This window comes from Homo sapiens, chromosome 5, assembly GCF_000001405.40.
Source record: "Homo sapiens chromosome 5, GRCh38.p14 Primary Assembly".
NCBI classification, from domain to species: domain Eukaryota; kingdom Metazoa; phylum Chordata; class Mammalia; order Primates; family Hominidae; genus Homo; species Homo sapiens.
The window spans coordinates 109,539,255-109,564,483 of NC_000005.10; the positions used below are offsets into that span (position 1 = coordinate 109,539,255).

The 25,229-nt window shown below is 36.7% G+C and overlaps 1 long non-coding RNA gene across 2 annotated transcripts in view; it reads left to right on the forward strand.

Annotated features, from left to right (window-relative positions):
- The window catches only part of LOC105379117 (uncharacterized), a 122,892-nt gene that overhangs the window by 87,811 nt on the left and 9,852 nt on the right, over window positions 1-25,229 (forward strand). For both annotated transcript variants that reach the window (XR_001742838.2, XR_948660.3), the window contains one exon: window positions 20,573-20,651. This is a non-coding gene — a long non-coding RNA (uncharacterized LOC105379117). The remainder of the gene's footprint in view (window positions 1-20,572; window positions 20,652-25,229) is intronic.

A 25,229-nucleotide genomic window follows, 5' to 3' on the forward strand; every position in this document is an offset into this window, starting at 1 on the left:
AATATCTAACTAGAATAACCAGTTTAGAGAAGAATATAAATGACCTGATGGAGCTGAAAAACACATGAGAACTTTGTGAATCATACACAAGTATCAATAGCTGAATCAATCAAGTGGAAGAAAATATATCAGAGATTGAAGATCCACTTAATGAAATAAAGCATGAAGACACGATTAGAGAAAAAAAGAATGAAAAGGAATGAACAAAGCCTCCAAGAAGTATGGGAATATGTGAAAAGACCAAACCTACATTTGATTGGTGTACCTGAAAGTGACGGGAAGAATGAAACCAAGTTGGAAACACTCTTCAGGATATTATCCAGGAGAACTTCCCCAACCTAGAAAGACAGACCAACATGCAAATTCAGGAAATATGGAGAACATTGCAAAGATACGTCTTGAGAATAGCAACCCCAAAACACATAATCATCAGATTCACCAAGGTTGAAATGAAGGAAAAAATGTTAAGGGCAGCCAAAGAGAAAGATCTGGTTACCCACAAAGGGAAGCTCATTAGACTAACAGCAGATCTCTCTGCAGACACCCTACAAGCCAGAAGAGAGTGGGGGCCAATATTCAACATTCTTAAAGAAAAGAATTGTCAACCCGGAATTTCATATCCAGCCAAACTAAGCTTCATAAGAGAAGGAGAAATAAAATCCTTTACAGACAAGCAAATGCTGAGAGATTTTGTCACCACCAGGCCTGCCTTACAAGAGCTCCTGAAAGAAGCACTAAATATGGAAAGGAAAAACCGGTACCAGCCACTGCAAAAACATACCAAATTGTAAAGATCATCAACACTATGAAGAAACTGCATCAACTAATGGGCAAAATAACCAGCTAGCATCATAATGACAGGATCAGATTCACACAACAATATTTACCTTAAATGTAAATGAGCTAAATGTCCCAATTAAAAGAAACAGACTGGCAAATTGGATAAAGAGTCAAGACCCATCAGTGTGCTGTATTCAGGAGAGCCATCTCATGTGCAAAGACACACATAGGCTCAAAATTAAGGGATAAGGGATGGAGGGATATTTACCATGCAAACGGAAAGCAAAAAAAAAAAAAAAAAAAAAAAAAAAAAAAGCCAGGGTTGCAATCCTAGTCTCTGATAAAACAGACTTTAAGCCAACAAAGATCAAAAAAGACAAAGAAGGGTATTACATAATGGTAAAGGGATCAATGCAACAAGAAGAGGTAACTATCCTAAATATATATGCACCCAATACAGGAGCACCCAGATTCATAAAGCAAGTTCTTAGAGACCTACAAAGAGACTTAGACTCCCACACAATAATAGTGGGAGACTTTAACACCCCACTGTCAATGTTAGACAGATCAATGAGACAGAAAATTAACAAGGATATTTAGGACTTGAACTCAGCTCTGGACCAAGTGGACCTAATAGACATCTACAGGGCTCTCCACCCCAAATCAACAGAATATACATTCTTCTCAGCACCAGATTGCACTTATTCTAAAATTGACCACATAATTGGAAGTAAAACACTCCTCAGCAAATGCAAAAGAATGAAAATCATAACAAACAGTCTTTCAGACCACAGTGCAATCAAATTAGAACTCAGGATTAAGAAACTCACTCAAAACCACACAACTACATGGAAACTGAACAACCTGCTCCTGAATGACTGCTGGGTAAATAATGAAACTAAGGCAGAAATAAATAAGTTCTTTGAAACCAATGAGAACAAAGATAAAACATACCAGAATCTCTGTGTCACAGCTAAAGCAGTGTTTAGAGGGAAATTTATAGCAGTAAGTGCCCACAGGAGAAAGCAGGAAAGATCTAAAATCGACACCCTACCATCACAATTAAAAGAACTAGAGAAGCAAGAGGAAACAAATCTAAAAGCTAGCGGAAGACAAGAAATAACTAAGATCAGAGCAGAACTGAAGGAGATAGAAACACGACAAACCCTTCAAAAAATCAATGAATCCAGGAGCTGGTTTTATGAAAAGATTAACAAAGTAGATAGACCACTAGCCAGACTAATAAAGAAGAAAACAGAGAAGAATGAAATAGTCACAATAAAAAATGATAAATGGGATATCACCACTGATCCCACAGAAATACAAACTACCATCAGAGAATACTATAAACACCTCTATGCAAATAAACTAGAAAATCTAGAACTGGTAAATTCCTGGACACATACACCCTCCCAAGACTAAACCAGGAAGAAGTCAAATCCCTGAATAGACCAATAACAAGTTCTGAAATTAATAGCCTACCAACCAAAAAAAGCCCAGGAACAGATGGATTCATAGCCGAATTCTACCAGAGGTACAAAGAGGAGCTGGTACCATTCCTTCTGAAACTATTCCAAACAATAGAAAAAGAGGGAATCCTCCCTAACTCATTTTATGAGGCCAGCATCATCCTGATACCAAAACCTGACACAACAAGAAAAGAAAATTTCAGGCCAATATCCCTGATGAACATCGATGCGAAAATCCTCAATAAAATACTGGCAAACTGAATCCAGCAGCACATCAAAAAGCTCACCCACCATGATCAAGTGGGCTTCATCCCTGTGATGCAAGGCTGGTTCAACATACGCAAATCAATCAACATAATCCATCACAGAAACAGAACAAATGACAAAGACCACATGATTATCTCAATAGACGCAGAAAAGTCCTTCAATAAAATTCAACACCTCCTTATGCTAAAAACTCTCAATAAGCTAGGTATTGATGGAATGTATCTCAAAATAATAAGTGCTATTTATGACAAACCCACAGCCAATATCATACTGAATGGGCAAAAGCTGGAAGCATTCCTTTTGAAAACTGCCACAAGACAAGGATGCCCTCTCTCACCACTCCTATTCAACATAGTATTGGAAGTTCTGGCCAGGGCAATCAGGCAAGAGAAAGAAATAAATGGTATTCAAATAGGAAGAGAGGAAGTCAAATTGTCTCTGTTTGCAGATGACATGATTGTATATTTGGAAAACCCCATCGTCTCAGGCCAAAATCTCCTTAAGCTGATAAGCAACTTCAGCAAAGTCTCACAATACAAAATCAATGTGCAAAAATCACAAGCATTCCTATATACCAATAATAGACAGCCAAATCATGAGTGAACTCCCATTCACAATTGCTACAAAGAGAACACAATACCTAGGAATAAAACCTACAAGGAATATGAAGAACCTCTTCAAGGGGAACTGGAAACCACTGTTCAAGGAAATAAGAGAGGACACAAACAAGTGGAAAAATATTCTGTGCTTATGGATAGGAAGAATCAATATTGTGAAAATGGCCATACTGTCCAAAGTAATTTATAGATTCAATGCTATCCCCATCAAGCTACCATTGACTTTCTTCACAGAATTAGGAAAACCACTTTAAATTCATATGGAATCAAAAAAGAGCCCATATCGCCAAGACAACCCTAAGCAAAAAGAACAAAGCTGGAGGCATCACGCTAACTGACTTCACACTATACTACATGGCTACAGTAACCAAAACAGAATAGTACTGGTACCAAAACAGATATATAGACCAATGGAACAGAACCGAGGCCTCAGAAATAACGCCACAAATCTACAAACATCTGATGTTTGACAAACCTAATGAAAACAAGCAATGGGTAAAGATTCTCTATTTAATAAATGATTTTGGGAAAACTGTCTAGCCACATGCAGAAAGCTGAAACTGGATCCCTTCCTTACACCTTATACAAAAATTAACTCAAGATGGATTAAAGACTTAAACATAAGACCTAAAACCATAAAAACCCTTGAAGGTAGGCAATACCATTTAGGACATAGGCATGGACAAAGACTTCATGACTAAAACACGAAAAGCAATGACAATGAAAGCCAAAATTGACGAATGGGATCTAATTAAACTAAAGAGCTTGTGCACAGCAAAAGAAACTATCATCAGAGTGAACAGGCAACCTAGAGAAGAATTTTGCAGTCTATCCATCTGACAAAGGGCTAATATCCAGAATCTGCAAAGAACTTAAACAAATTTACATGAAAAAAACAAGCAACCCCATCAAAAAGTGGCTGAAGGATATGAACAGACACTTCTCAAAAGAAGACATTTATATCGCCAACAAACATTTGAAAAAAATATTGTCATCACTGGTCATTAGAGAAATGCAAATCAAAACCACAATGAGATACCATCTCACCCCAGTTAGAATAGCGATCATTAAAAAGTCGGGAAACAACAGATTTTGGAGAGGATGTGTAGAAATAGGTATGCTTTTACACTGTTGGTGGGAGTGTAAATTAGTTCAACCATTGTGGAAGACAGTGTGGTGATTCCTCAAGGATCTAGAACCAGAAATACCATTTGATCCAGCAATTCCAGTACTGGCTGTATACCCAAAGGATTATAAATCATTCCACTATAAAGGCACATGCACATATATGTTTATTGCAGAACTATTCACAATAGCAAAGACTTGGAACCAACCCAAATGCCCATCATTGATAGACTGGATAAAGAAAATGTGGCACATATACGCCATGGAATACTACACATCCATAAAGAAGGATGAGTTCATGTCCTTTGCAGGGACATGGATGAAGCTGGAAACCATCATTCTCAGCAAACTAACACAAGATCAAAAAACCAAACACTGCATGTTCTCATTTATAAGTGGGAGTTGAACAATGAGAACACATGGACACAGGGAGGGGGAACATCACACACCAGAGCCTGTTAGGGTGTGGGGGGCTAGGGGATGGTAGCATTAGGCAAATACCTAATGTAGATAATGGGTTGATGGGTGCAACAAACTACCATGGCATGTGTATACCTATGTAACAAACCCACACGTTCTGCATATGTATCCCAGAACTTAAAGTGTAATAATAAAAAAAAAATGCAATACCACTTATAATTGCTGAAAGAAGATGAAATAGGTGTAAATGTAACAAAACATGTATAGTATTTGTATGCTAAAAATGCAAAATGTTGATAAAAATTAAAGAAGAACTAAATAAAAGTAAAGAGATACTGTGATTTGAATGAGTACATATAATAAAGATACAGTAATGTATAGTATGTCATTTATCAGTATCAAAATATAGTAAAAATGTCAATCTTCCCTAAATTATATACACATTGAACACAATTCCTATCAAAATACCAGCCAGATTTTCTTTTAGATGTAGACGAAATTGTTATTATTTTTAAATTTTTATTTATTTATTATTTTTGAGATGGGGTCTCACTCTGTCACCCAGCTGCAGTGCAGTGGCGTGATCTCAGCTCACTGCAACCTCCGCCTCCTGTGTTCAAGTGATTCTTTTCCCTTAACCTCCTGAGTATCTGGGATTACAGGCGCCTGCCACCATGCCTGGCTAATTTTTGTATCTTTAATAGAGACAAGGTTTCACCAGGTTGGCCAGGCTGGTCTCAAACTCCTGACTTCAAGTGATCTGCCTGCCTCAGCCTCCCAAAGTGCTAGGATTACAGTCATGAGCCACCATACCTGGCCTATTATTATTATTATTGTATTTTAAGTTCAGGGGTAGATGTTCAGGTTTGTTACATAGGTAAACATGTGTCAAGGGGGTTTGTTATGCAGATTATTTCACCACCCAGGGATTAAGCCTAGTAACCATTAGTTATTTTTCTTGATGCCCTCCCTCCTCCCACCCACTACCCTCCTATAGGTCTCAGTGTGTGTTGTTCCCTTCTATGTGTCCATGTGTTCTCATCATTTAGCTCCCACTTACAAGTAAGAACATGTGGTATTTGGTTTTCTGTTTCTGCATTAGTTTGCTAAGGATAATGGCTTCCAGCTCATTCTTTTTTATGGCTGCATAGTATTCCTTTGTGTATATGTACCTCGTTTTCTTTATCCAGTCTATCATTGATGGACATTTAGGTTAATTCCATGTTCTTGCTATTGTGAATAGTGCTGCAATGAACATATGTGTGCATGTGTCTTTATAACAGAATGATGTATATTCCTTTGGGTATATACCCAGTAATGGGATTGCTGGGTCAAATGGTATTTCTGTTTTTAGGTCTTTGAGGGATCACCACACTGTCTTACTCAATTGTTGAACTAATTAACACTCCCACCAATAGTGTATAAGCATTCCTTTTTTCCACAACCTCGCCAGCATCTGTTATCTTTGACCTTTTAATAATAGCCATTCTGACTGGTGTGAGATTGTATCTTATTGTGGTTTTAATTTTTATTTCTCTAATGATCAGGGATATTGAGCTTTGTTTTCATATGATTATTGGCTGCATGTATGTTTTCTTTTGAGAAGTGTCTGTTTATGTTTTTTGCCCACTTTCTAATGTTTTTTTTTCTTGTAAATTTGTTTAAGTTCCTTATAGATGCTGGATATTAGACCTTTGTGAAATACACAGCTTGCAAAAATTGTCTCCCATTCTGTAGGTTGTCTGTTTATTCTGTTGATTGTTTCCTTTGCTATGCAGAAGCTCTTTAGTTTAATTAGATCCCATGACAAAATTATTTTAAAATTATATTGATAGGCAAAGAAGCTAGTTAAAATAATTTTGAAGGTAATGAAGAAAATGGGTGAAATCAGTACACCACATTTTAAGACTTATGTAGCTAAAGTAATCAATATTTTTATCAGAGGGATAGACATATAGATCGATGAAACAGAATAGATAAAAAACAGAGACCCGTACAAATACAGTCATTCGTTGGAAACAACATTTCTATCAACAACGGACTGCATATGTGACGATGGTCCATAAGATTATAAAAGAGCCGGAAATTTCTATCACCTATTGACTTCTTGATGATCCTGACCCTTTGTAGGTCTAGGCTGATGTTTGTATTTGTGTCTTAGTTTTTTAACAAAAAAGTATAAAAAGGAAGAAAAAAAGTAATAATTTAAAATAAATAAAAAGATTATGGAATAAGGATATAAAGACAATATTATTATACAGCTGGGCAATGTGTGTTTTATGCTAAGAGTTATTAAATAAGAGTAAAAAAGTTAAAAAAAATTAAAAGTTTATGAAGTAAGAAAGTTACAATAAGCTAAGGTTAATTTATTATTGAATAAAAGTATTTTAAGACAAATTTAGTGTAGCCTCAGTGTACAGTGTTTATAAAGTCTACTGTAGTGTACAATAATGTCCTAAACTTTCATATTCATTCACCACTCACTTACTAACTCACCCAGAGCACCTTCAGGTCCTACAAGCTCCATTAATGGTAAGTGCTCTATACAGGTGTACCATTTTGTGTCTTTTATACCACATTCTTATTGTACCTTTTCCATGGTTAAATATATTTAGATACATAAATAATTATCATTGTGTTACAATTGCCAAGAGTATTCAGTACAGTAACATGCTGTACAAGTTTGTAGCCTGGGGGCAATAAACTATACCACATAGCCCAGGATTTACTTGACTATACCATCTAGGTTTATGTAAGTTTGCACAACAACAAGATTGCCTAATGATGCATTTCTCAGAATGCATCCCTATCATTAAGCAATGCTTGTCTTTATGCCCAACTGAGAGTTGACAAGAGTGCCATACCAATTCCATGGAGAAAGGATAGCCTTTTCAACAAATGGTGCTGAAGCCATTGGGCCTCCATAGTGGGGGAAACATCCTTGCCTTAATTCTCACGCTTTATACAAAAATAAACTCAAAATGGAAAATTGATTACCTGTAAATAGTACAACTGTAAAACTTTAAGAAATAACACAGAAGAAAATCTTCAGGATCTAGAGCTAGGTAATTCTTAGGTTTGAAACCAAAAGCATAATTCATAAAAGGGATAATTGATAAATTGGATTTTATCAAAATTAAAAGTGTTTCTTCTGTGAAAGATACTATTCAAAGGATGTGAAAACAAGCTGCAGATTGGGAGAACATATTTGCACACCATAAATCCAAGAAAGAATAGTATCTAGAATATATAAAGAACTCCCAAAAACTAACAGATAAAAAATCTAATTAGGACATGGGCAAATGACATAAAAAGACTGAAGAGAATCTACAAATGGAAAATCAGCACATAAAAAGATATTCCACATACTTAGCTATTAGGGATATGCAAATTGAAACCACAATGAGATTGTTATACACTTAGCCCGAATGACTAAAAGACTGTAACAACATTTTTACTTTTACTGGAAATGTCAAATGCTACAATCACTCTGGAAAAAAAGTTTGGCTGAGACAGAATGAAGCAAAAGGAATAACTGAAAAGAGAATGGTCATAAATTTTCAAGTGACAGATTCAGCAGATGGTACCAAAAAAAAAAAAAAAAGGACAAATGCAAAGAAAAGCACACCTAGGCACATCATTGTAAAACTGTTAAAAACCAAAGACAAAGAGGAAATTTTAAAAGGAGCTAGAGAAAAAAATACTAGGGAAAAAAATACTATCAAAAAGGCAAAAAAGACCCCACAACAAAAAGCAGAAAAAAGCAGACAACCCCATCTTGCTTTGCAATAGAAATAATAAAACTCAGAAGACAATGCAGTAGCATTATCAAATAGTAGACCCAAGAGAGCCATACTTATACGTTCTTACTGTAAGAGAGCTGAAAAATGGATGAAAATGAGTGAAAAATGGATTTCACCCATTTTCTTATACTTTCTTAGTATGAGAAACCTGAAGTAACTATATTAACATGAGAGAAAATAGAACTATTACTAGAGACAGATGAGGCATCTCGTAATGATAAAAGATCAAAACTTTAGGAAGATATAACAAGTATAAACATATACACGGCTAACAACAGAGACCCATAATATATGAAAAATGTATTCCAAATAAAACTTAAAGAAAAAAAATGACAACTATAGTTGAAGATTTTTAATATTTCACATACAACAACTTAATTTATAGGGACTCATGATCATATCTTTAACATTTATAAAGAAAATATTAACAGAAGTAAGGAGAAATAGACAAGGGGGAAATTTTATCACACTTCTGTCAGTAACAGATTGAAGAAGCATACAAGATTAACAAGAATACAGACAATTTGAACAATATGACTTACAAAATTGAACTTATATCTAGGAAACTTGATTCCAAAACTGCAGAATATACATTAGTTTCAAGTGTTTTTGAATTATTTACAAATTGAACTACACTGGGCCATAAAACATGTCTCTACAAATTTCAAAGGATTGAAATAACAGCGAATTCCCTGATCACAGTGAAATTAAGCTAAAAAAGTCTGTCTGAAAAATAGAAAATCACCAATGCCCAGAAATTTAAACAAGTGTATTTATATATAATTCACTGGTCAAAGGTGATGTAATAATAAAAAAACTAGAAAATATTTTGAACTAAAGTATAATAAGAATAAAACATGTAAAAACTTGTGAATGTAGCTAAAACTATGTTTAAAGGGAAATATAGCCTATGGCTATGCTTAAATAAAACTTAAAGCTATGTTTCTAGCTTTTAGTGCATATTCAAAAAACAAAGGCTGAAATATCAATGGCTAAGTTTTTATCTCAAAAGTTAAAGAAAAAATACCACATAGAACCCAAAAAGTTAGAAGGAAGTAAATAACATATAAATTTACTAAAAATAATAAAATAGTAATATATGCTCAATAATTGGAATAAACGAACATGAAATTTGGTTATTTTAAATAGTTAATAAGAAGGCTAAACCTCTGGAAAGACTGAGCATATAGAGCTAGAGAAAGAAGATTTTTTTTTTTTTGAGACGGAGTCTTACTCTGTTGCCCAGGCTTGAGTGCAGTGGCACAATCACAGCTCACTGCAGCCTCAGCCTCCCAGGCTCAGGTGACTCTCCCATCTCAGCCACCTAGGTAGTTTGAACTACAGGCACCAGGCACCACCTTTGGCTAATTTTTTGTATTTTTCACAGAGACAGGGTTTTGGCATGTTGCTCAGGCTGGTCTCGAACTCCTGGGCTCAAGTAATCCACCTATCTCAGCCTCCCAATGTGTTGGGATTATAGGCCTGAGCCTGTAATAGATAATTATCTGACCACACCCAGCCAGAGAGAGAGGATTTCTAATAATACTTGTAAAATGGGAACATCACTACAGTTGTTGTTACAAACACATAAGATAGTATTATTAAGTTTTTGCCAATAAGTTGAAAAATCAAATAAGATGGGCAAATTGATAGAAAAACGCAACCTGTCAACAATGATGCTGAAAGAAATAGAATATCTGAATATTCCTATATCCAATTGTATAAGTCAGGGTTCCTCAGAGAAATAGGACTAATAGGACATATCTATCTATATATTATGGAGGCCGGCACATCCCAAGATTTGCACGGTGAGTTAGCAAGCAGGAGGCCCAGGAGAGCCAATGTTATACTTGATAATATGGTTCCAGTCTGAAAGCAGGCAGGCTTGAGACCCAGGAGTAGCCAGTGTTTCAGTGCAAGTCCGAAGGCAGGAAAAAGCTGATGTGCTAGTTTGAAGGAAGGCAGGCAGGAGAATTTTATTTTACACAGGGAGGGTAAGCCTTTTTGTTCTATTCATGCCTTCCACTGACTGGATGAAGCCCACCCGCATTAGGGAGGATAATTTGCTTTCCTTAGTCTACTGATTTAAATGTCAATCATAATTAAAAATATCCTCCCAGAAACACCCAGAAAAATATTTGACCAGTATCTGAGCACTCTCTGACCAAGTTGAGTTGACAAATATACTTACCCATCACAATGTAAATAACCAAATTTCTATTTAAAATTAATCCTCAAAAAAATACCAGGCCCAGTTGGCCCCAAACTAATAAATTATTCTAAACATTTAAGGACAAAAAAAAAAATCAATCTTACCCAAATACTTCCAGAGAGCAGACAATGATAGTCAGCTTATTTTTTAAGGCCAGCATAATCTTGACAGCAAAATCCTGTAAGAATACTACAAGAAAGAAAAATTACAATTTTATTCATGAATATAGATGAAAAAAATTCTAAATAAAATGCTAGCAACCCACGTCTAATGATATATAAAAGAAGCCAAACAACATGACTAACAATACAAGTTTGGTTAGCTGTACAGGAATCAGTTAGTATATAACTCACCACATTAATATAAAAAAGGAGAAATATGATATCTCAATAAGTGAGCTAAAACCACTCAATGAAATTTAATACCCTTTCATGATAAATACACTTTGCAAAATAAAAATAGAAGGGAACTTCCTTAATTTGATAAGTCTGATGTGGTTTGGCTCTGTGTCCCCCCTGAAATCTCATCTTGAATTGTACTCCCATAATTCCCACATTTTGTGGGAGGGACTTGGTGGGAGATAATTGAATCATGGGGGTGGTTTCACCCATACTGTCTTTGTGGTAGTGAATAAGTCTCATGAGATCTGATGGTTTTGTAAAGGGTTTCCACTTTCGCTTCTCTCTCATTCTCTCTTGCTGCCACCAGGTAAGAAGTGCCTTTTGCCTTCTGCCATGATTGTAAGGCCTTCCCAGCAATATGGAACTGTGAGTTCATTGAAACTATTTTTCCTCCCAGTCTCGGGTATGTCTTATCAGCAGCATGAAAATGGACTAATGCAGTAAATTGGTATCAGTAGAGTGGGCACAGCTGAAAAGATACCTGAAAATGTGAGAGCAACTTTGGAACTGGGTAACAGGCAGAGGTTGGAACAGTTTAGAGGGCTCAGAAGAAAATAGGAATATGTGAGAAGATTTGGAACTTCCTAGAGACTTGTTGAATGGCTTTGCCCAAAATGCTGATAGCCATATGGGCAATAAAGTCCAGGCTGAGGTTTCAGGTGGAAATGAGGAACTTGTTGGGAACTGGAGCAAAGGTGACTCGTTGTGTTTTAGCAAATAGACTAACCGCATTTTACCCCTGCCCCAGAGATTTGTGGAACTTTGAACTTGAGAGAGATGATTTAGGTTATCTGGCAGAATAAATTTCTAAGTAGCAAAACATTCAAGATGTGACTTGGGTGCTGTTAAAGGCATTCAGTTTTATAGGGAAAGCAGGACATAAAAAGATCGGAAAATTTGCAGCCTGACAATACTATAGAAAAGAAAATCCCACTTTCTGAGGAGAAATTCAAGCTGGTTGCAGAAATTTGCATAAGTAACAAGGAGACAAATATTAATCCTCAAGACAATGGGAAAAATGTCTCCAGGGCATATCAGAGGTCTTCACAGCGGCCCCTCCTATCACAGGCTGGAGGCCTAGGAGGAAAAAATGGTTTTGTGGGCCAGGCCTAGGGTCCTCCTGCTGTGTGCAGCCTAGGGACATGGTGCCTTGCATCCCAGCCACTCCAACCATGGATGAAAGGGGCCAATGTAGAGCTCAGGCTGTGGCTTCAGAGGGTGCAAGCCCCAAGCCATGGCAGCTTCCATGTGGTATTGAGCCTGCGAAAGCGCAGAAGCCAAGAATTGGGGTTGGGAACCTCTGCCTAAATTTCAGAGGATGTATGGAAATGCCTGGATGCCAAGGCAGAAATTTGCTGCAGGGGTGAGGCCCCCATAGAGAACTTCTGCTAGGGTAGTGCAGAAGGGAAATGTGGGGTCAGAGCCCCCACACAGAGTCCCTACTAGGGCATTGTCTAGTGGATCTGTGAGAAGAGGGCCACCATCCTCCAGAACCTAGAATGGTAGATCCACTGACAGCTTGCACCATGTGTCTAGAAAAGCCGCAGCCACTCAATGCCACCCCGTGAAAACAGCCAGGAGGGAGTCTGCACCCTGCAAAGTCACAGGGGCAGAGCTGCCCAAGACCAGGAGAACCCACCTCTTGCATTAACATGATCTGGATGTGAGACATGGAGTCAAAGATCATTTTGGAACTTTAAGATTTGACTGCCCTGCTGGATTTTAGACTTGCCTGGGGCCTGTAGCCCCTTTGTTTTGGCCAATTTCTCCCATTTGGAACAGCTGTATTTACCCAATACCTATACACCCATTGTATCTAGAAAGCAACTAACTTGCTTTTGATTTTACAGGCTCATAGGTGGAAGGGACTTGCCTTGTCTCAGATGAGACTCTGGACTGTGGACTTTTGAATTAATGCTGAAATGAGTTAAGACTTTGGGGACTGTTGGAAGGCATGATTGGTTTCGAAATGTGAGGACATGAGATTTGGCAGGGCCTAGGGGTGGAATGATACGGTTTGGCTCTGTGTCTTTGCCAAATCTCATCTTGAATTGTACTCCCCAAATTCCCGCATATTGTGGGAGGGACCCAGGGGTAGATAATTGAATAAGGGGGGTGGTTTCCCCCATACTGTTCTCATGGTAGTGAATAAGCCTTATGAGATCTGATGGTTTTATAAGGGGTTTCTGCTTTTGTTCTCTCTCCTTCTCTCTTGCTGCTGCCATGTAAGAACTGCCTTTCACCTTCCACCATGATTGTGAGGCCTCCCCCAGCCACATGGAACTGTGAGTCAATTAAACCTATTTTTCTTCCCAGTCTGGGGTATATCTTTATCAGCAGCGTGAAAAAAAACTAATACAAAGTTCTGTCTACCAAAAGCCTATAGCTAGTATCATACTAAATAATAAAAAAGCAAAAGTATTCCCCTGAGACTGTGAATGAGACAAGGACATCTGCTACTGATACTTCTATTCAACATTGTCATGGAGATTCTGGACTGTGCAAAAAGTTAAAAAAAAAAAAAAGTAAAAGATGTCAAGATTGGAAAAGAGATTGTCATTATTCATTGACAACATGGTGTTATACAATGAAAATCCATCAGAATCTATACTCTATCAGAATTAATAAGTGAAGCAGATTAACATATCTATCAAAAAGAAGTAATAAGTAAATATAGCAGTTTCTTGATATTAGAGCAGCAACAACTGCTATATATAGAAAAGCAGTTTCTATATATAAGTAGCAAACAATTAGAAAGTAAAAATTTAAATAATAATACCATTTTGAGTAGCATAAAATCCAAATTCCTAAAAATAAATCTAATAAAAAATATATAATACCTTCACACACACACACACGCACACACACACACTAGAGAAAATGTGATTCAAATAAATAAGGAGATACGTCACCTTCAAACCATTGGAAGACACGATATCATAAAGATGTAAATATTCTCCATCTTACCTACAGATTCAATGCAATCTGAACCAAAATCTATTTTTAATAAATTTTTTGGTGAAAATTAACAAGCATATTCTAAAATCTAGGTGGGAATATAGAAGGCTCAATCAGGATGGCTAAGAAAATCTTGAAAAATACCAAAGTTGGAGGACTTACATGAGCTGATATCAGGATGATAATTAGGACAGCATGATATTGGTGCAAGGATGGACAAATAGGTAAATGGAAAAAATTAAGTTTAGAAACAATTCCACATGTATGGGCACTCGATTTTTTACAATATTTTCAGTGCAGAACAGTAGGGGAAATATTCTTTTTAACAAATGGTGGTGGTGAATCAATGGATAACTCTGAAAAAAATAAGCCTTTATCCCTACCTCACAACTTACAAATAATAAACTCAATTATGTGTTGTTGGGCTAAATGAGAAAGGTAAAATAAAGTCTCTGGATGATAATATAGAAGATCTTTATGACTTGGGGAGGAGGTTGCAGAGACTTTTTAAACAGGACCAAAAAGTATCATCCAAAAAGGAACTGTTGGTAAATTGGACCACATTAAAATTATGAACAGTTCATCAAGGAAGACCAGGAAGAGAAGAACTCACATAGTGAGTGCATTAGTCTGTTCTCATGATGCTAATAAAGACATACCTGAGATGAGTAATTTATAAAGGAAAGGGGTTTATTTGACTCACAGTTCCACATGGCTAGGGAGGCTTCACAATCATGGTGAAAAGTGAAGGGGAAGCAAGACATGTCTTACATGGCAGCAGGCAAGAGACAGCATGTGCAGGGAACTCCCCTTTGTAAAACCATCAGATCTCATGAGGCTTATTCACTATAATGAGAACAGCATGGGAAAGGCCTGCCCCCATGACTCAATTACCTCCCACTGCATCCCTCCCATGACACGTGGGAATTATGGGAGCTACAATTCAAGATGAGATTTAGGTGGGGGACACAGCCAAACCGTATCATTGGGAGAATATATTTGTAATACATAAAATCAAAAAAAGGATTTGTAAGAGGATATATAAAAACATCCTACAAATCAAAATGAAAAGACAGAAATCAATAGGAAAAAATGGACAAAACCTAGAACTGGAAATTTATGAAAGAGGGTATCTGAATGAATAATAAAGTTATGATAAAGTATTCAATGTGATTAATCATTAGGGAAATGCAAATTTAAACAATAATGATATATCACTGCATACCAGCAAATTCATTAATTTCTAAGAGACTGACTATGGTGAGTTGGCAAGGACATGGTACAACTGAAACTTTCATCTTTTTCTGGTACAACTACTTCAGAAAACAGTTTTGCAACATATACTAAATTTGAAAAATTACATGTCTGATGATTCAGAAATCAACTTCTAGGTATATGCCTGACAGAAATGCATAAATATGAATGCTAAACTATGTATAAAAATTGATAGTACCATTATTTCATAATATCCCAAACCTGGAGATAACCCAAATGTCGATCAACAGTAAAACAGATAGATACATTGTAGTAGACTTATATAATGAAATACTAAGCAGCAATGAAAAAGAACAAATGACTGCTATGCATGGCAACATATACTCACCTCAAAAATGTAATATTAAGGGAAAAGGACAGATACAAAAGAGTAAATACTGTATAATTCCATTTATATAAAGTTAAAAAGCAGTTAAGACTAATCTGTGGCACTGGGAGTCTGAACGGGTATTACCTTTGGAGTGTAAAAGGGCTGGTAAAAGGGAACACAGGTTGTTTGTGCTGTGCTGGAAAGGTTCTGTTTCTTGATTTGTGTGGCAATTACAAAGATGTGCTCATAGCACAGGAATTAATTGAGCTGTACATTTATGAGTTTTACGTGTATATATATATATATGTGTGTGTGTATTACTTCAATAAAAATTGTTTGAATAAGACTAGTGGGAAGTCTTAGGTAGGAGCACCTCCCAGTTAAAGGAATAGCAGAGCAGTAAAATTGTTTCTCCATAAAAATGAAAAACGTTCTGTTATCCAAAGTGGTAAGTAGCATCATTTAGACAGAATTAATTCATGCAAATAGTCTTATGCTCTAGGAGTTTTTATTTCTCTCATAGGAAAGGCAGGTTGTACGTTAATGTGACATTATAGAAAAATACTTTTTAACATTTATAATGAGCATTTCCTTTGTTCTTTATTTTATCTCTTAAAAGTGCATTTAAGGAAGTGACTCCTTGTGAACACTATGTTCTAAAAAAATGGAAGAAAGCTGAAGTATTTCTTGTTCAATCACATTTGTGCTGCTACTGAAGAGGGGCCAGCAGAAAAACAATATCCCATGTTGATAAAAGTGCTTGTCACAAAAGAAGGGAAAAGGACACACACAAAAAGATGCATTGTCAGATTTGGAATTAGGCTTTAAATGTCCCTAAAATTAGTAGACATGTTCTTTAACTGGTTAGAAATAGATAACTAGACTTGTATTTAGAGATAGAAATAAGGCCAGTGAAAAAAGGTCTTGGGGAAGCATAAAAGACAATATGAACTAAGAATGGGTGCTTTCTATTTTTAATTAAAAAGAATACATCTAATTGTAGAAAATTTGAAAATTACAGGGATAAATAAAAAAACATAAAAATTACTCATGATTCTACTACCCAGAGATTAAAACTTACCAGTGTGAGTCTATTACTCACAGTTTATTTTCTGAGCCTGTATTTAGAAATATTTTATTATAACAAGCTTTCCACCTTTGCCATTATTCTGGAACATTTCCCCATGTTGTTATGTGTTGTACTGTATTTAATGGTTTTCAGTTCTTCATAGAATCACTTGTGTGGATTTTTAAAAATACAGAGATCTAGATTTTACTCCAGGTCTAGTGATTAGACTCTCTTTAGGTGGATCCAGGCATTTGTATTTAAAAAAAAATACAGTAGTGCCGGGTGCGGTGGCTCATGCCTGTAATCCCAGGACTTTGGGAAGCTGAGGCGGGCGGATCACCTGAGATCAGGAGTTTGAGACCATCCTGACCAACATGAGGAAACCCCATCTCTACTGAAAAAAAAAACCCAAAATTAGCTGGGCGTGGTAGCACTTGCCTGTAATCCCAGCTACTCGAAAGGCTGAGGCGGGAGAATCGCTTGAACCCAGAAGGTGGAGGTTGCAGTGAGCCGAGATCGCGCCATTGCACTCCAGCCTGGTCAACAAGAGCAAAACTCCCTCTCAAAAAGAAACAAATAAATAAATAAATAAATACAGTGGTGTACAGCCAGGATTTAGACTTCTCAGGCAGGGTTGAGTAATATTGTTAATAGATGCATGGAATTCTGTGCATGTTCTATAACTTATTTAACTTGTTTCCAATATTATTGGACATTTATGTTGTTCCCCCTTTTTTTGGGAGGAGAGGATAAGTAATCCTGTGGTGAGTATCCATTTGTGTATACATCTCTGATTATTTACTAAGATTAAATTCTTAGAAGTAAAATTGCTAGTTCAGTTCAACTGAAGGCTTTTGATTGCCAAATTATCTTCTAGAAATGTTTGTCAAAGTATTCTAGCACCAGCATGTATGAGGCTCCCTGTTTTCCTGAATTGTCACCAAATAGTAGTAAATATTATAATTGTATGGTAATTTTGGCCGATTTTTCAATTTTGATAAATGCATTTCTTTGATTACCAATTACATTGAATAGTTTTTCATCAGTGAACTGCCTTTCTATCAGAGAAATTGCTTTTATATGGAATACAAATTGAGCAAAAGCCTAAAATTTTAAAGTAGAAATGAAAATAACTTGGTATTCAGTGTTCCAAATCCAGAACTGAAGCAAATTTGAAGTTTTTACTGGGAGCGTAGAGTTATCTTAAATATGTTCGTTTTAAATTTAAGTAAATAGAAAAAATTAAAGCACTCAAGGAAAGATGGGTAGCTATTATGTTTAACTTTGAGTCAACATCTATAAATGTACTTTGTGGATTATCCATAAAATAATTAAAATCCAAATGTAATTCCGGACCACCGTTCTGTACCACTTCCTATCTAAACATTTATTGAACATAGTTTCAGCTGGAGTTCCAAGAGAAAACAGATAGTACATCCAAGTAGCATAATTTGAGGAGGGTGTATTTACAAAGAACTCATTACAAAGAGCAGGTAGGGTAGAAGGAAACTGCAAGGGATAGCATAGGACCCCAGGGCTGGCATGGGCAAGGCTGCCTACATCTCCAGTCCTGGAAGAAAAGAGTGTTAGTTGTGTTGGAACTAGAACACCCTGGGAGATCGATGATGTTGGGTGGAGGGACCTAGCCAGTCTATGACTTCATAGGGAAGATGCTAGGGAATAAATTCCCTGACAACAGAGTTCTCCAGAATTTGGTTCCATCTCACTCTCCAACCTCATCTCCTACTATTCTCTCCTCACATCTTTGCTTTCTCATTCCCTTACTTCAGTCAGATCTTAGTCCAAATGTTACCTCCTCAGAGAGGCCTTCCCTGTCATGCACAGGAGTCAGGAGAGACCTGTTCAATCTCCCCCAATTCCTTACTGTCTTTACCTTGCCTTATAATCCTTCTTGCATGCCTTTGTTGGCTTCTTTCTCTACTGTTGTCTCTATCATCAGAAGGCAAGCTTTATGAGGGTATGGACATTGTCTGTGTTATGTGCCCCTGTAATTTCAGTGCCTGCAACAGCATCTGGTTCATCATAGGCACCCAATTAATATTTTTCATCTTTGCAAAAATGCTTAGTAAACTGCCATGTACCATAGAAACATGAAATATCATTATATTAATAGCACTGAGTAAATATACACATTTAAAAAAAGGATCCCCTGTTTTTGCTCATGCTCCTTTATTAGCACAAATAACTCCTTTTATATCTAATTATATTTCCCATAGATTCTCCCTGCAGTATATGTCTCTAACCTGTCCACTTCTCTCCATGTCTACTGACACCATGCAAGACTGAACTACCATCTCCCACCTGGACATCAGAATAGCTTTCTAGCTGGTCTCCCTGCTCTATTCTTGGGTCTTTCAATCTTTCTCCACACAGCAGCCAGAACAGGCTTTTAAAAATCTGGTATTTCTTTTCTGCTTAAAAAGCTTCAAAGGTTTCCTTTTGCCCTCATGGAAGAATTTAAAATATTTAACCTAACCTAGAAGGATCTGAATAATCTCATTAATTTGCCTCCTCTAACCCCTTTTCTTTCACTTGTGATGTTGTGGTTACTGAGGTTTATTCTGTTCTTGAACACCCTCGGCCCTTTCCTGCCTCGGCATCAACCCCTGCTGTCTTCAGACCCTGGAACTCTCATTCCCCACACCTTACCATTTAGCTTCTGCTCATTCTTCACATCTCAGCTTAAAGACGCCTTCTTCAGGAAGGGCTTTCCTGACTCCTTGGTCTTCATGGGACCTTCTCTCATAAGCTTTTAGAGCACTGTGCAATTTTCCTCCTTAAGACTTTTGTAATTGTAGTTCTATTGTTTGTGTGACAATTTGCTTAAAGTCTGTCTTCATCACTAGATTGTAAGCTCCATGGAGGCGAGGTTATGCCATTTTGTTCCCTTTCTGTCTCCAACAGGTAAAATAATGTCTGACATGTACTGATTAATTTCACATTTCTGTTGTGAATAAGTAATATGGTTAAAGTGTTTAAAATTCTTACCTTTAACATTTCAGTATGTGAAAATGGCATTTAGGACTCAAGCTCTGTAGCAACTGCTTCTATTTCCTAACACAGCATCGCTTATTAATAGACCTAGAATAAACATTTTTGAAGAATTCATGAATGTTCCATAACAGTATTTTTTTTCTTCATGTCTGGTTAGATTCTTGACTCCTCAGAGTGAGGGGAGGGGCACATGATCCAGATCTCCACACAAAGTGAAAGTTTGCTGGATGATGCAACAATATTTTTCTTTATTGCATTCTTTTGTCATCCAAGTGTTAAATGGTGGTATCAGACAATTTTCCTAGTTAAAATGGGGTTCTGAACTGTATAGATAGTGAGGAGGGGTCTCAAGGCTGCTGCTAACTCACGCAATGCCATTGGTGGCTCAGAAAAAGGCACCTCTTCCTCAAGAGACTTTACTTTTGTTTGCAAATTATTGTAATGTTACTATTGATTTTGTTAGAATTGTGCTGCCAAAATTGTCCTGATAATTCTGCAAGTCTATAACATCTACAATGTCCATGGTGCCCCATGAGTGGTGCCATTGTATTTGCCCAAATGTCCACAGTGGCGCACCCTGGGATGTGTACCAGGTATAACACCAAAAATGTATCATCCATTACATACTTTGCAGTGGTTTTTCTTCACCAGTGATACAAAGTACAGTAAATATCAAAAATCTTTCTTTATGCTCAGTGGGATTTTTCTGAAAAAAGACTGTAGCCACATACACAGGACGTAAATATTTAATTTCCCTTTTCTCATTTCTTCTCCTCAAACCTCATCAGTTTTGCTCAATTCCATTTTGCCCATGTCACTCTGACTGATCTCTTACTTCATTTTTATGATAGGCCTTTAAATTCATTCTTCAAGTTCGTCCCGGAGGGCATCGTTTTTCCTGCCTTGAGGAAGCAACAACAAATAACCCAGGTAGTCTTCTGGATAACTTATAGTAAAATATAATTAAATTTGAAAGTAGCTGTTTTGTTGGCATGAATTTTCTCTGTTGCTGTGAACCTTTATCCTTCCTCCAGCATTTCCCAAAGTGGTATTCTGTAGGCTGCTAAGAGTAGTATGGTAGAAAAAGTATTCTGTGCTGTGAAAATTAGGGAACTGCTAGTTCAACACATTTAACAGATTTTGTAAATTTTTCCTATGACTTGGTTTTCTGGTAGTTTTTAACCTAGATCTTTAATTACATTATTATGTATTGTGAATTTGGGGTGTTTTATAATTTAGTTAACCATGAGCCCTTTGTAGCGCCTGTTAATGAAACCCTGAAAAAGCTTCCGGAGAACACCAGTTTGGGAAGTGTTGGTTTACTGATTAGTCCATTTGTGCCTGTTCTTGGGAAGCAGGGTATTAAAGTGGAAAGGTTTTGACTGACAACTAGGAGACCTGGTTTCCAGGCCTTCTTTCTATTATGTAGAACATAGTTTGGTAAATTAATCAAATATTTCTATACTTGAAGTTTCTTCTTTGTTTGATATTTGTTCAAAGAGTGACCACTGAATATTCTTATTATTCTGTGCATTAATTTCCTAGGCTGACCATAACAAAGTACCCAAAACTAGGTGGCTTAGATAAACAAAAACTCCTTTTTCTCACGGTTCTGGGGGCTAAGAGTTGGAAATCAAGGTGAGAGCAGGGCTGCACTCTCTGGCGGCTCTCAGGGAGGAACCTTCTTGGCCTCTTCTAGCTTCTGCCATTCCCCGGCAATCCTTGACATGCATTGTCTGGTAGTTGCATCACTGCAATCACATGGCCATTTTCTCCCTGTGGGTCTTCACATCATCTCCCTCTGTGCATGTCTGTTTCCGTATCCAAATTTCCCCTTTTGATGAAGACATCAGGCATATCAGATTAGAACCTACCCTAACGACCTCATTTTAACTCGATTACGTCTTTAAGACCTGGTTTCCAAATAAGGTCACATTCTGAGGTACTGGGATTAGGACTTCAACATATCTTTTTGGGAGGACACAATTCAACCCATAACAAACAGCCATCAACAAAGTTTGCTTTGTCATCTGAGATACATTAAATTTGCAAATCCTGCCTTTTTTTAGGAACTGTACTCCCCCAACACTGCTGTCCTGCTAACTCCATTCCCCTTACTCTACTCAGTTCTTTTTATTGCCTGCTTTGCCTATCTCTGGGCTGGTCTAAGACTTTGCTGCACAATCTATGGTTCCTGTATCGGCAGCAGCATCAGTATCATCTAGAAGCTTGTTAGAAATGAGAATCATAGGCCCCATCTCAGACCTCTGGAATCATTATCTGCATTTTAAAGATCTCTAAAGGATTCACAGGCACATTTTTTTGTTCCCTTTATTTTTAGTTGATCTGTAATAATTGTACCTATTTATGGGATGCAGAGTGATATTTTGAATGTGTAATAATAATCAAATCAGGGGAATAAGTATATCCAATACTTCAAACATTTATCATTTCTTTGTGTTGTGAACATTCAAAATCCTCTCATAGCTTTTTGAAACTATACAGTAAATTATAGTTAACCATATTCACAGAACACCAGAACTTTTTCCTCCTATCTAGCTGTACTTTTGTGTCTGTTAACCAACTTCTTCCAAGCCTCCCCCACCCCTACACTTCCCAGCCTCTAGTACCCACAATTCTACCCTCTACTTCCATGAGCTCAAGCATTTTTTTTTTCAGTCCCACAAGAGTAAGAACATGGGGTATTTATCTTTCTGTGCCTGACATTTCAGTTAACATAATGTCCTCCATGCTCATCCATGTTGCCATGAGTAATAGGATTTCAATCTTTTTTTAGGGCCAAATAGTGTAATATTTCATTGTGTGTATATATACATTTTCTTTATCCATTCTCTGTTGATGGACATTTAGGTTGCTTCCATATCTTAGTTATTGTGAATAGTGCTGCAATAAACACGGAGGTGCAGATATCCCTTCAATAAACCGACTTCCTTTCCTCTGGTTAAATACCCAGTAGTAGAATTGCTGGATCATATGGTAGTTCTATTTTTAGTTTTTTGAGAAACCTCCACACTGTTTTCCATAATGGCTGTCCTAGTTTACATTCCCACCAGCAGTGTATAGGAGCTCTCTTTTCTCCACATCCTTGCCAGCATTTGTTATTTTTTGTAGTTTTGAAAATAGCCATTCTAACTGGGGTGAGATTCACATTACGGTTTAGAAGCAGTGGATTGAAGAATTAGCTCCCATGAGATCAGCCTTTTTCTAAAGGTGAAATAGGAAATTACCTCTACTCTTAAACCTTATTTGGCTCTCTCCAGGTGTTCTCTGGTGCTGCTGTCCTGGTTTCTTGTCATCTGCACCCCCGACTTGTTCTGTGTGGCCCCTTGTTTGTATTATCTGGTTTGACTCATCTCCAGGTATCAGCCTCTGTCATCAGGACTTCCTAAGTCTTTCTCCTTTACTGGTTAGCCACCTTGCATTTATATTCTGCTGCTGCTGCCTGAGCCCCAGTATGCTATAAATAAGTGTCACTGTGCCTGGATTACAGGAGTTATAACAACAAAGCAAGTCAAAGACTTATCAAACAGATACATTATTGTATCCTCAAATGACACCAGAATGTTGGTCTCATTAGATTCACAATGTGTATGATGTCTCTTTCCCCGTTACTAATATAATCCACGAAGCTAAAACAGAAGCTGCCCACCAGCTGGGAAAGTGTGTGATGTAAAGCAAAATCAAAATATTATGATATTGAAGTTATAATAGTATGTGTATAATTATGCTGGCTCTCTTTTGCATTGGATTCTCTCCGAGGTAGAAAATGAAATTGCCTTCTTTTGATAAAAAAAGTAAAATCCCATTTTTATAGGACACCATTTATAACAGAAATATCAGTAACATGAAAATGAAAGTGGTACAAAGGCAACTAATGAGCATGGAGGACATGTCATTTTTATTCTATTTGTAAATTCTAATTCTCTAATAAAAGGAAAACAGAAGAACACTAAATTTATTATTCTTTGTTATTAAGGCAAACATTCTTTTAAATAAAACATTGGGATTAATTTCCAACTTTTTTCATTTTTAAATTATTATTTAAATAGTAGATATTTATGGTATACAACATGATGTTTTGAAATATGCATACACAGTGGAATAACTAAGTTAGGCTTAACAATGTAAGCATTACCTCATGTACTTACCATTTTTTTCTGGTGAGAATATTTAAAATCTACTCTTAGCAATGTTCAAGTATACAACACATCTTTATTAACTGCAGTCAACCTGTTGTACAATAGATCTCTTGAACTCATTGCCCCTGTCTAACTGAAATTTTGTATCCTTTGACCAACATTTCCCCAGTCACCCTGACACTCCAGCCCCAGGTAAAAACCATTCTACTCTCTGCTTTGGTAGGTTCAACTTTTTGAGATTTCACATAGAAGTGAAATCACGTGATATTTGTCTTTCTCTTTGTGGCTTATTTCACTTAGCATAATGTCCTCCAGGCTCATCCATGTTGCTAATGATAGACTTTCCTTCTTTTTAAGGTTGAATAGCAGTTCATTGTGTATCTATACCACATTTTCCTTTTTTAAATTAAAAATTTAAATTGGACATAAAAATTATACATATTTATGGGGTATAGTACGTAGAGATGTTGCAATATATATAGTGTATAGTGATCAATATTACCATATCGATAATCTCAAACATATATCATTTCTTTGTGTTGGGAGCATTCAGTATCCTCCTTCTAGCTATTTGAAACTAATATATTATTGTTAACTATAGTTATCCTACAGTGCTATAGAACACTAGAACTTTTTTCCTTTCTAGCTGTAATTTTGTATCCTTTAAAAGATTCCTCCCTATCCTCCCCTTCTCACCACCCTAGCCTCTAGTATACTCTGTTCTGCTTTTTACTTCTCTGAGATCAACTTCTTTTTTTTGTTTTAGCTTCCGCATATGAATGAGAACATGGTGTTTAGCTTTCTGTTCCTGGCTTATCTCATATAACATACTGTCTTGCAATTCCATCCATGTTGCAACAAATGACAGGATTTCATTATTTTTATGGCTGAATAGTACTCCATTGTGCATATCTATCTATCTATTTATCTATCTATCTACATATATGTATATATAACATTTAAATTTCCATACCTTGGCTATTGTAAATAGTGCTACAATAAATACGAGGGTGCAGATGTCTCTTTGGTATATTGATTTCCTTTCCCTTGGGTAAATGGCTATCAGTGGGATTCCTGGATCATATGGTAGTTCTGTCTGTAGTTTTTTGAGGAACCCCCATGCTGTTCTCCATAGTGGCAATACTAGCTTATATTTCCACCAACAGTGTACAGGCTTTCTCCTTCCTCCACATACTTGCCAGCATTTGTTATTTTCTGTCTTTCTGATAGTAGCCATCTTAAATGGGGTGAGATAATAGTTCATTTGGATTTTGATTTGTATTTCCCTGACGATTAGTAATACTGAGCATTTTTTTTTCATATATTTGTTGGCCACTCCATGTTTTCT